Here is a 16,963-nt window from a genome sequence, read left to right as displayed (position 1 = left end):
ATTCACTTTCTACACCCATTATTCTTTAACAATTATTTTGACAATGACTAGCTTCTAAGGAAGCTCCCTAACTCATCATCAGAGAGACTTCAGCAGCCAATGATGGAACCCGGCCTTCCTCCAGGTCAGGAGGAACCTCAGCAGCCAATGATGGAACCCGGCCTTCCTCCAGGTCAGGAGGAACCCAGCCCCGGGTCCCCACTGAGATAATGAGCCATGAGTCCTGGATCCATGATTCCTGAGTCCAAGTCTGCAGCCTTTTTCATGACACCACATTTCCACCTCCAGCCATTCTCTTCCCACACAAACAACCCATTGACATTTTTATAACTTTATTAGACTTAGCTCACATTGTTCTCAAACTGGGGACATGTAATTTGGTTTGAGGAGGTGGGGTTTCCTGAGTACTGTCGATGCAGGCTTAGCCTGAAGATTATTACTGGGTAGAATATTCTAGAGAGGAAAGGGCCCCTGCTCCACTGCTGGGCCTGTAATGAAATGAATAGTCCTGCTGTTTTTTGGACAGGCACCTCTGAGCTAATAGCAAGTCACAGCAGTGCAGGTCCCAGGAGAGTGGCACTCCAGCCTGAGGAAGGAGTGACCCCTTCAAGCTGGGAGTCTCTGGATCCAGAGGTCAGCCTCCTCTTCCTGCCCCATGACCATCAAACACTGTGGGCACTGCTGAGAGACAGAGGGACTCAGAAGGGTGCTCAGAGGCCGTGAGGGGAAGGAATGGCAAGGTGGAATGTCTGCAGCTGAGGCCTATAAATCTGCAGGCCTTTCCCAGGGACTAAGCCTCAAGCAGAGGAGCCTGTGGGACGTTGGGGGAAGCCAAGGGGCAGCTCTCTCCTGTCATTGGGCAGAAGCTGGGACCGGGAGAGGGCGGAGCTGTGGGGGCAGTCAAGGCCCCCGAGTGGGTGAGTGGGTGCTTCCGCCAGAATGGAAGGGTGGGGGTCTCTGGTTTCTGTCAGACTCTGGGGGCTCGGCCTTTCCGATGCTCTCGCAAATCTGATTTATTTTCCTCCTAGTAATTCATCTCATCCTGACAGCTTCGGTGAAGGATTAGCTGCCAAGAGAAGGCTCTCTGTTGCCTTACCACACCAGGGAAAGCCAACTCAACAGGGAACGCCTCTTCTTGAGCGCTAACAAATTCTCAAGAAAAAAATGCAGACAGGCAGACTCAAAAGGGCCAGGTCCCTCAGAGAGCTCTCTCTTCTAATACAAATTCCAGGTTCAGGCCCAGGAGCTGAAGGTTCTGCCCCGGGCCGGTCCCTGCTCAGGCAATGTCTTCTCCCTGGTCTCCCTTCCACCGCCCCGCCCCGCGCCATCTTCACTCTGAGTGATCTGATTTGTGCTGTGAGTAGTGCAGATACCTCCTGAGATCAGCGTGGACGATTCTGGACTCCTTCCATTGGGGTCATTTTACTGACTGGTTATTCATCTGGGTCCAGAGGGAGGGGGTTGTGGGGGGTGATGTCTGGCTGTTGCTTAACTCCTTTATTGCTGGTTTGTCCTCTGCCTAGTTAATGTAGGAGCTTCCAGTGCTGCTCAGAGGCAGCTGTTCCCCAGAGAAGGGTGCAGCCACCTCCCCGCCCCAACTCCCCGCAGTGAATCTGGTGGTTATGTGTCTGGTCTCACTAGCTGGCACCTGCAGAGTGGGTGGGCCCCTGCTCTGTTGTTTCAGTCTACAAATCTAGTCTAAAATGTCTGAGGACTGATCTTCACTGTCTTGAACTCATCTGCTATGGAATAGGCAGGTTATAAAAAAGACAAATCATTTGCAGAGAAAGATCTCCCTATGCTAGGAGAAGTAGACAGAGATAAATGGAAGGAACTGCTCTCCAAGATTCTTAGTCACTTCCTTTTCTTTACAGGGGCAAGCTAGCCTGCTTTCCACCAGAGCATCTCCCTCCAAAGATGCAAGTGTGTGGAAATGAGACTGCAGGGAGAACTTCCAGGCAACAAAGGATGTGAGACTATAGAAGAGGCACTATAGCTGGGCTCATGGAGGAGGGATGCCGCTCTGGACTTTGCCCAGGGGATGCTGGATCTCTGATATGAAGGAAGAAGAGGGGGAGGAAGGGTCCCCAAGCCTCTGACCTTGATCTGAGCATCACAGAAGCCTCCTCCCCTGAGGATCCTGCAGTAGCCAAGCCACCAGCTTTCACAGATGATGGCTCACACTGAAATAACTTGTTCCTAGGGTAGTTGGTGATCAATGACTCAAATTAAACCTTAGAAAAGTTTTTTTTCTTCCTGACACTTTATAGGTTTCTCTACTTATCTCCTCCCTGGATGGCTGTATAAGCCAGATGACGGCTACCTGAACACTCTAGAAAAAGTGAATTCACAGAGGCTTTCACAGGGGTGAGTAAACCCTTGGATTGGCTGAGGGTGGGGGTTCCACCTGCCAACACCCAAACCAGCAATAATCCTTTCTAGGCAGCCACCCACTGTTTCTCTACCCAATCCCCCTTTCCCTGTTTACTATTTCAGCCTTCCTGGGTTGGTAAGAGCTGTTTCCTGCACCTCAGCCTCCCTCCCTTGTTCACATGGTTTCAGCTTCTAAATCAGGTTATCTCTCCGGTCTGCATTCCCAGTAACTGAATTATCTTTACATGAGTACACAGAGGTCTGGGCAGGGTGGGAGGGGCTGTCTGGGCTGAAGATTGTCTTCCTGGCCGCTCCCTGTGCTTGGTCTGAGCAGCCTCTTAAATGATGCTCCTGATCTCTTCTTCTCCCTCTGCAGCACAGCCTCGCAGTCTGGAGGGAGAAGAGGGCAAAGCAGTCTTCACGGATGCCACCTACTGCCTAGCTGGGCAGAGAGCCAGTGGATCAGAGAGGCCGGCTCTGTTCTTGGCAGGAAATGAGGGGCTGGCATGGAAATGCCACCCAGGCTGGGAACAAGATCTGTGGAGTGGCAGCCTGAGTGGGTGAGGTGAGGGGGAGTAAAGGACAACCCAGGGCTCTCTTGTCAGCAGCACTGGTCCACAGGGATCTTCAGTGGTCAGCATTCCAACATGCTGGGCTGGGCCAGGCCATAGAAACCCACTCTTTGTCAGTGAATCCCAAATTTCAGTGCACCTCTGAATCACTTTGGCAGGAGGGTAGTATTTAAAAGGCCGTTTCCCAAAGCCTAGCTCAAGAGTTGGATCAGGAAGTTCGGGATGAAGCCTGATAATTAGTCTTTTAATAAGCCTTCCTGGCAGGAGATGACTTTGAGAAATGTGGGTGTAGAGATTCAGACAAGAAAGCTAATAGGGTCATTGAAAGCCTTTTACCTACCAGAATGGGATCAATACACACTTCCCCAACTTTGAAAACAAGGTTTCTCCTAATACTGTCCTTGGAGCTACCCAACACCCACACTCCTATTAAAGCCACTAGGGGTGTTTGCTAAAATGCAGATTATGGGTTCCCAACACAGATGTATTGACTCAGAATCTCTAAGGGTGAGGATTTGAATATACATTTATAAAAAGCACCCTAATAATAATAATAACCTAGGTTCATATAATGCTTCCTCTGTGACATGTTCTTTAATATTAGCTCATTTAATATGTACAACAATTTGTGAGGTAGGTTATATTATTATTCCATTTAGCAAATGATGAAACTGAGACCCAGAGAGGTAAAGTAACCTGCCAAGTTTATACCACTACTTAGTGATTGAACTGGGATTCAGACCTAGGTGCTGCGATAGTTGGGCTCCTAATGTAGGAGAGGAAAAATATTTGTGCTCTACTATCTTATGTTTAGTGCCTGGAGCCTTTGAATTAAACTGACGAAAGGTAGATTAGCAGGAGGAAAAATACAGAGTTTATTTACCCGTGTAACAGGCATACATGTGGGAGAGCTCTGTGATGAGTAACTCAAAGGAGTATTAGAATTTGGGGCTTATGTACCATCTTAACAAAGGATAATAAAAGTGGAGAACAAGGGAAATAGGTTAAGGGGTGGCTGGGCTACAGTTTACTGTGGGGAGGTAAATATATGAGGAAAACTAATATTTGAGGTAAGATAAGAGTTATTTTAGTGAGGTTTACCTATGTAGAGCCATGTGGGCACTGACGTTTTGTCTCTAATATAAGGCTTGTTCACTGTACAGAACAGGGAAGGGGGAACACCTTCACAAAGGGAAAATTATGCACTGCTTCTAGGCAGAGAGAAGGTAGAGAGCTCTTGCCACGTTTGGTACATCTTAATTGCCTTCAGTGGTATACTTTGGAAGGCATATTCTGATTCCCTTTGCTAACCAGCATACCATATAGCCCAGCTTCTTCAGATGGAGGCTAAATCTCAAAACCCCTTATCAGTCATAATTGCCAGCTTCTGACCACCTCTGCAGTAGAGGGAAGAACCTGAGCAGAAGCTGATGTGGTGGTTGCTGAAGGTACAGGCCAGGAGGCAACTTGATGGTCTGTGAAGAGCACTGCTCTGGGAGTCAGGAGACAAGGATGTGCTAGGAACATGCCAGGTGACAGTAGGCAAGTTGATCCTCCTTTCAAGGCTTTGGTTCCAGCCATCTGTCAAGAGGATGCTAAGCTGGATGACTTCTAGATTCCTTCCCAGCTCTGACATTTGAAAATCATGTGCATTTGCCTTTCTGAGCAAGCTGAGGCAGTTTCCTGGAGGCTCTGTGTGTGTGTATGTGTGTATGTCATAGGGGAGAGGACTGTTATATGTGGGAGAAGTAGCCCCAGCCCAAGTCAGGCTGGGCATTTGTGTGTGGCTGCCATAAGTCTGGGTGTATCCCAGGCCAGGCCAGTGGGGAAGGGTTGGGACTTACGAGGGCAGGACTTGTGCTGAAATCAAGGCTGTTTCTATCTCAGCTGTTTGTCTAGTTTTGTCCTGAAACAATGCCCTTAGGCTCACCTAAGGAGAGAATGAAAGGCATAGAGACTGGGAAAGCTGTGGGGATAACCTAGAAACAGCTTCAGGGCAACAGAGACCTAGAAGTAGGCACCAGCTTTTGCCAACTGTACAGTCTTCTTTTCTACTTAGAAGCCAGCTCCAGGTAGCAGGCTGGGCAGGGCTAGGTGGGGCCGGACATCCTTTTGTGGTCTAATTCAATTCCTTGGGCCAGTTCAGGCCTGTGGAGAGCTCCATGGGAATGATCCACTGGGGAAAAGCCAGCCCCCACATTGATCCTGCAACTTCCTCGTGTAGCCTCAGCTATCTAGCAGCACATAATGTGGTGACTGAAACTGAGTCCTTCTCTGACCATACAGCTTGATCTGCAGTCCTTTCATCTCAAAGAGAATGGCCAGCAAGGAGCCCATTCATGGAGCCTTGTTGGACAACTCCACCTACACAGTCTTCAGTGGTGCTCTGGAGAACAGAAGCTGACAACAGGCTATGGTATGTGTGTGTCTATGAATGTGATGAGTGGGTGGTCAGGCACTGGTGTTTGATGAGAAGCCACTGGTTGTGGTTACCTTTGCAGCAAGAGACCATCATCTAGTCTCAGCTCCCATCTTTTTTTTTTTTTTTTTTTTGAGATGGAGTCTTGCACTGTTGCCCAGGCTGGAGTGCAGTGGCGCAATCTCCGCTCACTGAAGGCTGCAAGCTCTGCCTCCCGGGTTCACACCAGTCTCCTGCCTCAGCCTCCCGAGTAGCTGGGACTACAGGCACCTGCCAACACGCCCGGCTAATTTTTTGTATTTTTAGTAGAGACAGGGTTTCACCATGTTAGCCAGGATGGTCTCGATCTCCTAACCTCATGATCCACCCGCCTCAGCCTCCCAAAGTGCTGGGATTACAGGCGAGAGCCACCACACCCGGCTCTCAGCTCCTATCTTAAAGCAGAGACTGCCCAACCCTCCACATCTCCAGGGGTGGAGGGGGTGGTGTGTTCAGACTGTCTTTCTTGGTGCTCTACATGGATGGTCTCAAGACAGCTTCAACTTGGATATGGTTGGTGGCATGGCGGGAATGCCAATGCATTTAGTAGCTGGGCATTGGCCAACCAAGCAATTTACAGGGTTGAGGGAATGGCTTCAAGCCAGTATCCCTTGGGGCATGATGAGAAACCACCAGCCCTGGGGTCATCTATGTGATGAGTATTTGCTTGTAGAGCAAGATGGTGGGTGGGAGCTGGGAGGGACCTTAGAAGAATGCTGTGGTGAGCTAAGAGGGGAGACCTCTGAGAGAATCAAGCCCAGGTTCCTGCTAATGGAGCAATTATTAGCCTGCTGGTCTCCAAAGCACATCCTATAACCTAAAGCAGCATCCTTGTCTGCATCACTTCATGCCGGACCTAGCTGTGATACATCCTCAGATTCCAAGTCTGTTGCTTCAGAGGACAGGGAATGTGCCAGTACTCTCTGATAGAGGTGGACTCGAGGCGCTTCAACAGTTTAGTGATTCCTCCTCCATCCAGCCCTTCTTGATCCCCCTGGTCTGACCTGAGTGGTCCTTTCCTCTACTCAGCTCTGCACCTTCCTTATCACATTGTATCACAATTGCTACAGGTCAGTCTTCAGGTAGATTGAGAGCTCCCAAGAACAGGGACTTGCCCACTGTCTTGCCCATCTTTGTGTCCCCAGCCCTTGGCATATGGCATAGCTTAGGAGCTCTGTTAAAAGTTGTTGAAGGTTGTTGAGTGGATTGTGGACAGGTCTCTCGGAGATTTCTGCCTTGACAGGCCCTCTAAATCCCTTTCTTAGTGGTTCACCTCCTTCTCCCAGGCCCTGTTTCTCCCAGAGAAACACCTCCTCCAAAGCAAGGAGGAGGAGGCTGAGCACATGGTGGTTGTGGAAGGACACTTGGGGCTGACAGCTGCATGGTTGTATCATGAAAATGGCACCCTCACTGGGTGAAGACTTCAGCTGCCCAACACTCCACCCAGGGTTGGAATGAGAACCACAGGCTCCCTTCCCCCACCCCGGGGTAGCAGGCCCTCAGCTTCTCTCTAGCCAATCTATCTAGGCAGACATGGAGCTGTTGTCTGGCATCAGAGGTTTTCCTTGTTATGGGTCAGGTAGAAAAACAGCTTGCTTCCCAAGGAGAAAGTAGAACTTTGTCAGCACACAAGGGTAAATATTGAGTGCGATATGGTGCTAATTAGCTGCACAAAGGCCATTAGCATTAATGAGCTCTGTCTCTGTGGCTCAGTCCCTCTGCCGTGAGCAGCAGCACCATTGCTTTGGTCCAGGCTCACTGGCGGTGGCTCAGTGTGCTAGCTGCTGCTGTGCGTTTTTCTGATGCTTTTGTCTTGGAAGAAAAATAAAGACAGCTAGAATTACAATGAATTCCCTTTTCTTTTAACATTTCTTGGAACAAATGCAGAAACTTCAGGTTAAAGATACACTAAAAAGATTTTATTTGTTTCACATTCCCAATCTTAATCATGCCTTCTCATCAGACTTTGGACCACATAGGCTGGAATTGAAGAAAGTAGTAGGGTGGAGGAATGATCATAACCAGAATTTTAGGGGAACATTTAGTAGGTACCAAATACAGAACCATACACAACCTTGTTTAAGCCTCACAAGAACCACATAAGGTGGATTCTATTATCCTCATTTTGCATATGTGGGAGAGTGAAACTCAGAGGGGTTAAGTAACTTGCCCAAGTTCCTCCAGTTAATAAATGAAAGAGCTAGGATGCTTCAGCTGTGCCTGAATCCAGAGCCCATGATCTTAACCACGACACTGAACTCATTGGAAGGGAGTGCAGGAAGGATCGTACTCAACAGTCTTGCCTCTTCAAAAGTGGAGGAGAAGAAAAAAATCAACAAAGGTTTTGTTCATCACTTATTAATAAAGATATTTATTTATGGTTTATTTAACATCTACTATGGACTGGGTTTGGGGATGTAATATATTGTTCTTGCTCCCATGGAGGCTGTCATTAAGAGATGAGGTAGTATAAACAGATAACTACAATAAAAGGTAGTATGGTCTATGGCAAAGATAGGCACTGTGCATTGTGATAGCATGAATTAGGGGGACCTAAATGTATGTGGGGTATGAAAAACATGACAGAATCTTTTAATCTCTTAGTCTTTTTTGGAAATATTTTTTAAGCCTTTTTAATTGGTGAGGAAGTGAACTGCAGTGGATGGTGAAGGCTTCCTGGAGGATGCACTGCACGAGCTAAGCCTCAAGGAATAGTCTGTGTTAGGTAAAAGTAGCAGGGGAGGGGTACTGCTGGTTGCAGGGTCACTTGGAGCAATGACTCGGAGGTGAGATACAGCAAGATGTGTGAAGGGAGGACTACAAGTATGTTTCTGTTTGTAAAGCATGAAATATGGGGCAGGTAGTAGTGAGGAATGAAGCTAGGGGAAGGTGAAAGTAGGTCACAGAGGGTCTGATAGGCAAGGCAAGGGAGCTTGGACTTTATTCTCAGCAAAACGGGGCTCCCGACAGACTTTTAAGCACAGGAATGGCATGGAAGATGAGACTGACACCATTCACTGATGGGTGAATGGTGGCTAGAGGCTAATGCAGTAGCTTGGGCAAGAATGGTGGTGGCCTGAATGTGAACAGTAGTTGTAGGAATGGATATAGGGGACACATCTGATACACATTTGGGAGGCAGAATTGGCAGCCCTCAGTGGTTGTCTAAATATAAGAGGCTTGAGGGAGAGGGAGGAGTCAGGAATAGCAGTCAAGTCTCTGCCTTGGGAAATCTGATATGGGTAATGACATGTTATTTACACATAAGGTCTGGGGACAGGGTGTGGTTCAGTTTGGGGCGTGTTGAGTGTGGCATTACTATGGAATACCTAGGTGGAAATACGTAATACACGGTTGGATATGAGATATAGGGCCTACAAAAGCCACTTGGAGCATCCTGATAACAATTGAGACACTAAGGATGTTTGGGATCACCCGAGGTGGTTGTTGTTGGAGAAGAGTTGGTGCACAGTGCATGCCCACACTCAGCGTCTTACCACTCTTGCCCAACTCTGTCTCTAGGGTAGAATCAAATCCCTGATTGCTATACCTGAGCTTATCTCTCTGATCCTCAATGAGGCCACTGTCTTAGTCCATTTGTGCTGCTATAAGGAAATATCTGAGACTGGGTAATCTGTAAAGAACAGAAATGTATTTTCTCATCATTCTGGTGGCTGGGAAGTCCAAGATCAAGGTACCAGCAGGCAAGTGCCCAGTCTCTGCTTCCAAGATGGCACCTGTTGCTGCATCCTCCAGAGGGAAGGAGTGTAAGGAGTCCTTATATGGCAGAAGAGTCCAAAGAGGTGAAAAGAGGCAGACTCCCTCCTTCGAGCCCTTTTGTATGGGCACCTAATCCCATTCATGAGGGCAGAGCCTTCATGACTTAATCACCTCTAAAGGCTTCACCTCCCAGTACTGTTGCGTTGAGAATTAAGTTTCAACCTGAATTTTGGAGAACAAAAACATTCAAACCATAACAACCAGATGTTTCCAGTTCTTCTACTCCACAAGTGTAGCCCCCTTGGGATTATACAGGAAGATCCACTGGCAGTAGTGTAACTCTAGAACTCCTTCCCCACATTTCCTGACATGGAAATGGCAAAGAATTATTGGATCTAGCAGTGACGCGGGGGAAATGATTACTGTCTTCTCTGTCTCCACTATTCCCAAGTATTTCAGCTCTTTCTCACTCTCCAATTCTCTTCTTGTTGGGTTGATATTGCAGTGGGGGTTTGATCCTAGATGGGTTGATAGTGCATAGTGAATCCTGATAGTTAAAGAGGGTTAGGCACAGCCTGCTTTATGCTTGAAATTGACTCTAATGGTTCTTTCCTGCTTCTAACCCTTTTTCCCAACCCCACCTAATACTATCCATCTGGTCAAGGTAACTAGGGACCCCCCCCACCCTTATGGCTCTCTGAACAAGACCCTTACATTTTGATGAAATTACATTTCATTAAAACTTGCATATCCTTTGTTTCATTTTCTTACATCATTTCATCCTGCTTTCCAGACAGCTCCCTAATATAACAAATTCCTTAGGATGATATCTAGGTCCAGCGTTAGTGGGCCAGGTGGGAAAAGAAGAACAGTTATTGACAGGTACCAAGGAAGTAGGTACAAAAGCAGTGCCATGAATTAAGTCTAAAGGCCAAGCTAAGGGCGGAAAAGAAAGGAATGGATAGCAGGATTAGTAGGAGAATCAAAACCAGGGTGAACCAGAATTAAGTGGACAATGCGTGGTGATGAACTGAGACCAACTCCTGCTTTCTTCTATCAGGAAAGAGATTTGAGGATTGGAAATTATCTAATAGGTGCTGGTATCTACCATCCCAGATGGCTCAGGCACAGCTGCTCATGGTTAATGTGAGGCTTGTGTAATGTAAGCCAGGCTGAGGAAGGGGTCAAAAGTTGTTTAGCACAGTAATTCAAGAGTAATTTTTCTGCAAGGAGCAAGGTCAAAGACACATTGAAGGAAAGGCTCTATTTTCCTCAGATGAGGTCAGATAGAGGGAAAAATAGCCCTTACATTAGTGTTAGTGTTTTTGTTTCTAACATAACTAGTAAAGAAACTAGATCAGTGGACTGAAATTAGAGCACTCATCATTTCCATTTGTCTTAAAAATAGAAAAAAAAACCTTTAGTAGGACTAGCATCCTACTAAACTTAAAGCTCTGAGTTTGCAAAGCAAAGGAGGAGAAGACATCTTCCTTAGGTGAAGCAGGGGTAGTTTCTAGAAAGACGTGTATGGGATACAGATTTGGGGGCTTGAAAGAGGGAGATGCAAGGGTTCATCCAAGTGGGATAGATTTCTTCTGAAGACCTAGGCCTCCTTTCCTTGGGTGATAAAATGGAACAGCAAAACAGGAAGAGTTATCAGCTGGGGTCTTCCTACATCATGCTGGGCTGAGAGATCTACCTCACCCTTTGGCAAAAAAACTCAGAATATATTTATCATAGCCTAGTAAATGTTATATCTGGAAAGACTGGTGAAGCAGGAAGTATATAGGGAAAAGGCAAGGCTTCTACATTGCACAACTGCAGGGGGTACAATACACATGGGATTCAACGTAGAGGACTCATTCTGGAATTCGGCAACATAGCACCCCTGAGTAAGGGAGAACATTTGCTTCCTGTTCAGCCTTTAGGGTATGGTGAACACCTGCCGGCCTGATCTGCCTAGGAATGTTTCTCATTCTTTTAGCTAAGAATGCTGTTTTTCCCCTGGGAACTCTCCCTTCCCCACTTTACCCCCAATTCCATGAAATCTTCCTGGGACTCTCTAGTGGGGATTCAAGCTAGCCAATCTCTCCTTAAAATCTGAACTGTGAGTAGAATTATGCAAGGCCAGAAATTGTTGGAGCTGATGCATTTTACAGTAACTCCCTGAGAAGATTGCTTATTACTTCCAGTGCCACTCCTAGCCCTTTGTGATGCTTAGAAAAGACATGGAGCTCAGGGAATTGAAGCATCTTTCAGCAAAGAAAAAGTCACCCTTTCTCCAGGCAGACAAAACCCCCTACAGAGAGGCAAGCCTTGGTGAGCAGACAGCAAACTAAATCCACCCTAATTTACCTGGTCAGCCAGGTGCCCTGATGACCCTGAAACCCCTATACCCTTTCCTCTACTTTTGGAAACCTAGTTGTTCAGATTGTCTTTCAATTCTCTTACTGCCCCATACCCTTCAACTTAAGTTAGCCAGAGTATGTTTCTGTTGCTTGCTATCAGATAACCCCTAAGAGATACATAGCAGTCATATTGTAGAGACAGAGCTGAGGGAGCACCAGCCCCCATTATGAATTATTCAACTGAAGCAACACTGGGGATACTTATGGGACATCAGTGGCCCAAATAATAACTGAGTCACAGGGAATTATAAAAGTCAATTCCCTGATATTTTTTCTCATAGACTGACATACACACAGACATACATACAGGTGCACACACACACACGCAAACACACACACACACCTCTTCAAGGCAGAAGAGGAGGGATCTTTCCACTCAGATCACAGTTAGCCTTCTGTACCAGGGGGCAGGTGAGGGAGGGGATAAAAAGGAACTGTGTCAGATGGCTTATGTCAGCCCAGATGATTTCAAATCTCCTACGATTCCTTCTTGTTCTGGCATATAAAATCATTTAATTAAATTAATTTATTTATTTCCATCATGAGGTAGTGAGTTCCATTGGATTAATGGCTTTCTCCTTCACCCATGACATATTTGCACCATATCAGAGCATTTTGGAAGCTCAATCTTCACTAAGCCAGCAATTTTTTTTCTTTTGTACATATTTTTCTGCTTTTAATACCCCTCCCTGCTTGTCTATCTCCCTTCCCTCTTCATAGTCAGTATAAGAGGAAGGAGGAGGTTTAATATTGAAATGGGAGAGCTCACTGGCCCCCCTGACAGGAGGTGCAACAGGGGTGTAGCACATCTGTTTGGCTGCTGTGCATGCTCAAACCCTTTATGGGAGGAGGAACATGTAGATGAGCAGGTGCAGGAGCTGGGGAGAGTGCTTTTGGGCTCCAGCCCCACGGTAGCATCTGGGGTGGGTGCCTGTGACTTCCAAAGCCCCAGTGGGTGTGTGACAGTGCTCTTTTAGCAGTTGCCTTCCACAGATGGCTTAAGTGTTAACCAGCTCAGTGCCCTCTTGGTACCCAGGTTCTTGTCTCGTGTCCAGGATGAATCAGTCCACATGGACAAATTGAAGGATGATAAATGGGGAAGATTTTATTGCTGGATGGAGGTGGCTCTCAGCAGGATGGATGGGGAGCTAGAAAGAGGATAGAGTGGGAAGATGATCTTCCCCTGGAGTTTGGCCATCCCATGGCTATCTCCTCTCTGACCGTCCCCAGCCGAGCTCCTCTCAATGTTCAGACACTCTTTTTCTTCCCTCCTTCTCTGCTGCACCTCTCTGCTGCCCTGCCACTCTGCCCTTCTGTTCATCTGCTTGTGGAGCCTGGGGTTTGGGGTTTATATGGGTACAAGATGGGTGGTGTGGTGGGCTAAAATGCCACATTTTGGCACAAAAACAGGAATGCCTGTTCCCATTTAGGGCCTTGGGTTTCCAGGCTTGAAGGTGGGTCCCTTGACGAGGAACCACCCTCTTCTACCCAGTATTTCCCTGCCTTTCATGTGTATCAACATGTGGCTTTGTAAATGATAAATCCTAAATTTAAATATCAATTTGCATTTACTATCTATATGACCCCAGATAAATAACTTACCCTTTTGAGCATGTTTTTCCCTGTCTACAAAGAGGCATGATATCTGGAGTGGACATTTATTGTTTTTGCTACCCAGCATCTATTCCTCTTTCTTCTGCTTTCTTCTGTAACAGGAACCCCGTTTTCTGCTGAGAATCCCTCCACTGGCCTGGAGGCCTGGTGCTTTGTAAAGGAGGAAGCATTAATGCCTACCCTTTCTCTCTGGAGATGGACATGTGACTCAGGCATGGCCCTATTAGGCCACTGTGTCTCCCAGTAAAGCAGTGGGTTCATGAGTGACCATGTGACCCAATCTACGCCAATGGAAATCATGGCTAAGACTTGGATTCAAATCATGCAGAAAGACTTAGTCCTGGAGCTGCTGAGAGCTACTGAGTTGAGGAAGGCTGTCAGAGTGACTCCTAATACGAGAAAGCAGAGCTGAGAGAAAGAGACAATGTCCTGATGACATCATTTGTTCAGTTCAGTCCAGAAGGACTTGACACCAAAAGTCCCCTGGATTTGGATGCTTTTAGTTACATGAGTCAATACCCCGCTCTCCTTTTCTGTTAGCCTGTTGGAATTATGCTTTTGCATACTTGCACCTGAGAGTCCTGACTGATATGATACTATTTACCTTTCAGTGCTGTGATAAGGGTGAGAACTTAAATATGAACAATGTATGGAATATGGCAGATGGTTAATAAATGGTAGCCTTTGTTATTTCCATTGTTTTTATTGCTGCCATTATTTTCACAGGTGATCCAGAGTCCTCACCGTCTACTCTCCCATCCCTTCAACCAAACTTTCCTGGGCAACTCTGATGCCAGGCATTTCTAGCACTGTGACAGAACCTGGTGGAGGACAGAGGGCTCCACTTCAAAGGTAACCACCTGTCTCCTTCTGCTATAACAGGGCTGACCTCAGTGCAGCAGAGGGCAGAGCTTGGAGGCAGCTGCTGAGAATTTGCACTCTAAAGACATCCACCTAAATCACAAGCTTTATATCTGGGCACTCAGCCAGACCTCCTGACCATATCCTGGACTGCGGACTTTGGATGGTGGAACGGGGGTGGAATTGAACATTAAATGAGCAACATGCTAATTCCATGCAAATGAATATCTATTTTGAATCAACAGCTTGGGCACTTTTTCTAGGAGGGCTGAGGCAGCAGGAATCTAAAGAGAGGATGAGAGGGGGAGGGGTTTCTCTCAGAGGTGGCAGAGAGTGCAAAGGGGGCTCCAGGCTGGGCAGAGCCACCTCCTGCCCACAGTTCCTAATGCTATTTGATTGGCTCATTAGCAAGTATGAAACATGGGAAGTCCAAAAAAAAGGAATAAAGAAAAAAACCCCAACTCTGAAATGAATAAACTAACAGATGGAGACTTAATTCAATTTGCATGCAACCTACCCTAGCACCAAGGACTTTGTTTGCTTAACAATGGAGACCCTGGGGGTGGGGAGGGGTCCCTCCTGCAGAGGGGCTGATGGGGATGATCCCAGATCATCTCTTCCATGCTGCTCTTATCCTTTCCTGGCGGCCAGATGGGTATTCTTGTTTTAAAGCTCCTCTCCCTTGGGCTGGTCCTGAATTCATTGTCTTATCCAGAGAGAAAGGTTCTTGGGTAGAAATGAGGCTGGCTTTGTGGGAAGGATGGGGTGGGGAACTGTGGGTAGCAGCAGCAGAGGGGGATGAAAAGCCATTCAGAAGCCAAGGGACTAGGTCAGGGGGACACCTGCCCCCACATCTCAGCCTGCCCCCAAGCCCCACACTCAGAGTGAATCAGAAGGCCAGGTAGCTGGGAAGCAGAGACTCAACCCTGGTCTGCCTGACTCCAAAGCCTGCATCCTTTCCACTGTATATCCTGCTCCCAAGACCTGGATCCAAGTCTTGCTTTGCCACTAACTAGCTGTTTTGATTGTCATCAGGTGACCTGAAGTCTCTGAACATTGAGATTCCTCATTTGATGAGCAGGAATAATAGCCAAATGAACCTCGCCATAGCTGCTGTGCAGCAAATACCAAATGTGTGGATATGGAAGCATTGTGTGCTGTTTGCATTTCTATCCAGGTTCTCACATTAGGGACAATCATTGCTAGGGTCCAGGGTGTCACTCACCTTCCTTCCCTCTAGGGAGCTGACAGATGGGGTATATGCACAAAGAACAGTAACCAAATGGGAAAAGATGAACTACTTTACTAAACATCATAGCAGTGCCAAGCTCTGGCAAAAGCCAGATAGGCCAAATCCTGAAACAGAATCCTGGGAAACAAATCACACTTCCCCTGGCCCACAGGGAGAGAGGAAAAGAGAGAGATGGCCTGGCATCCCTGAGCACATGTCTGACCAACCACAGGGTATGGGCTGTAGGCCTATCTCAGCCTCTAAGGTGCAAAAAGGAACAGAGAAAACCAGGGTGTTCACATCTGGTTTTAGAAGGGTCCAGGTGTATGTAGGAGAGGAATAACTTTTCCTATGCCCTCTTAAGTTCCGTGGCCAGCTGGGCCTGACAATTAAGTTGACATAGACTAACAAGATAAAACCATACGAATTTTATTTAATATTTTTGTGTGTACATGGGAGCCTTCATAGGAAAAATGAAGATCTGAAGAAGTGGTTAAGACCAAGAGTTTATGTACCTTTTTAAACAAAGATTAATAAATTTTTGAAGAAGTGATGAGACAAAGAAAAAGGGTGTTAAATTTCTAAGTGTGGTAATTTGTGGGAAAATGATGAGGAAATATGTGGGGGAAAACTAAAGCAAGAGAAGGATTATTTTAGTAGGTTTGTTTGTACAGATCCATTTCAGCATTTGACTCCTAGTCTCTGGGTAAGAGTATTCTCTATCTGATGTAGGAGCCAAGGGGTTGGCCCTCTGAAGGTTTACTGAAAAATCACCTCACAAAAGGCAGATTAATTGGGGGAAAAAAAATACAAATCTATGTAACGTGTACACATGGGAGCCTGCAGAATGAAGATCCAAAGATGCAGGGGAAATTGTCCATTTTTATGTTTAGGTTCAACAAAGTATGGACAGCCATGTAGAAATATGATTGGACAAAAAGGGTCTGATCTAATGCTAATAGATTGAGTATGGAAATCCAGCAAGGTCTGTCTGTCTAGATTCTTCTTGACATCTCTGAGCATGCGTTCCTTCCTCCTGGGTGTAGGACAGGTCTCCCTCTGGAGTAGAATCTTACGACCTACAGTTAAACAAAGTAGATTGGATAATTTCTTCATGGCCAGTTTTTACATAGAAAGGTAGAGGAAAATTAGAGTAATACTTTTAAGTTATATTGCTGGCTTTGGGGAAAAGGAGTTCTGGTTTCTGAGACAACCCTCAGGGAACAGGGATTCTCATTTTTATGGCTGGCCTCAGGGGGGAATGGGACTGAGAGAGAGATGAGGGCAGGAGAAGGTCAGAGAAACACTTTCACTTCCGAGGCCTTCATTTTGCAATATTGCTTTCCAAGCCTCAACGTGGGTACAAGGAGGACACCTTTCTCGTAGAAAATCTTATGACCTGCTTTTAGGTAGAAAGGGAAGGTCAGCGAGCCCTTCCTGCATCTGCTGCTTCTCAAGTGCCTTCAGCTCAAAATATCTCATATGCCAAACGGGCATATTTTGGGGTGGCATGTTTTGAACTCCCTCCTGTGCTTTGCCTGGGGACAAAAAGGAGACCCCCTGGCTTTCTGCAAAATAAATGAGAAGGGACCGTGCTTTTGAAGGCCCAGGACTTGCCTCAATAGTAAGGGTGGCTACTGCCATGTTAGGCTTTGACCTATCGATTTCCTACCTGAGGTTTTTTATGGGAGGCAGGATGGCTCTTCTTGTTGTTCTTTTTCTCCCT

General features: G+C 46.7%; 1 long non-coding RNA gene across 1 annotated transcript, besides 2 other annotated features; it reads left to right on the top strand.

Moving 5' to 3' along the window:
* The first annotated feature begins 1,829 nt into the window (after nucleotides 1-1,829).
* On the top strand, nucleotides 1,830-15,982 carry LOC105369498 (uncharacterized). Its single transcript, XR_948020.3, has 4 exons — nucleotides 1,830-2,367; nucleotides 2,750-2,938; nucleotides 5,232-5,361; nucleotides 13,872-15,982. It is a non-coding gene; the product is annotated as an uncharacterized LOC105369498 (long non-coding RNA).
* Nucleotides 13,778-14,643: an enhancer, noted in NCBI's record as "OCT4-NANOG-H3K27ac-H3K4me1 hESC enhancer chr11:112693347-112694212 (GRCh37/hg19 assembly coordinates)". NCBI's record gives its function as "activates a minimal SCP1, AML or CMV promoter by ChIP-STARR-seq in naive H9 embryonic stem cells {active_cell/tissue: H9 hESC(naive)}" and the evidence as "EXISTENCE:reporter gene assay evidence [ECO:0000049][PMID:30033119]".
* Nucleotides 14,644-15,511: an enhancer, noted in NCBI's record as "OCT4-NANOG-H3K27ac-H3K4me1 hESC enhancer chr11:112692479-112693346 (GRCh37/hg19 assembly coordinates)". NCBI's record gives its function as "activates a minimal SCP1, AML or CMV promoter by ChIP-STARR-seq in naive H9 embryonic stem cells {active_cell/tissue: H9 hESC(naive)}" and the evidence as "EXISTENCE:reporter gene assay evidence [ECO:0000049][PMID:30033119]".
* Nucleotides 15,983-16,963: the final 981 nt, after the last annotated feature.

Source organism: Homo sapiens, chromosome 11 (genome assembly GCF_000001405.40).
Source record: "Homo sapiens chromosome 11, GRCh38.p14 Primary Assembly".
In the NCBI taxonomy this organism is placed as follows: Eukaryota; Metazoa; Chordata; class Mammalia; order Primates; family Hominidae; genus Homo; species Homo sapiens.
The sequence above is the reverse complement of the archived record's forward strand: the minus strand, read 5'-3'. Positions and strand labels throughout refer to the sequence as shown.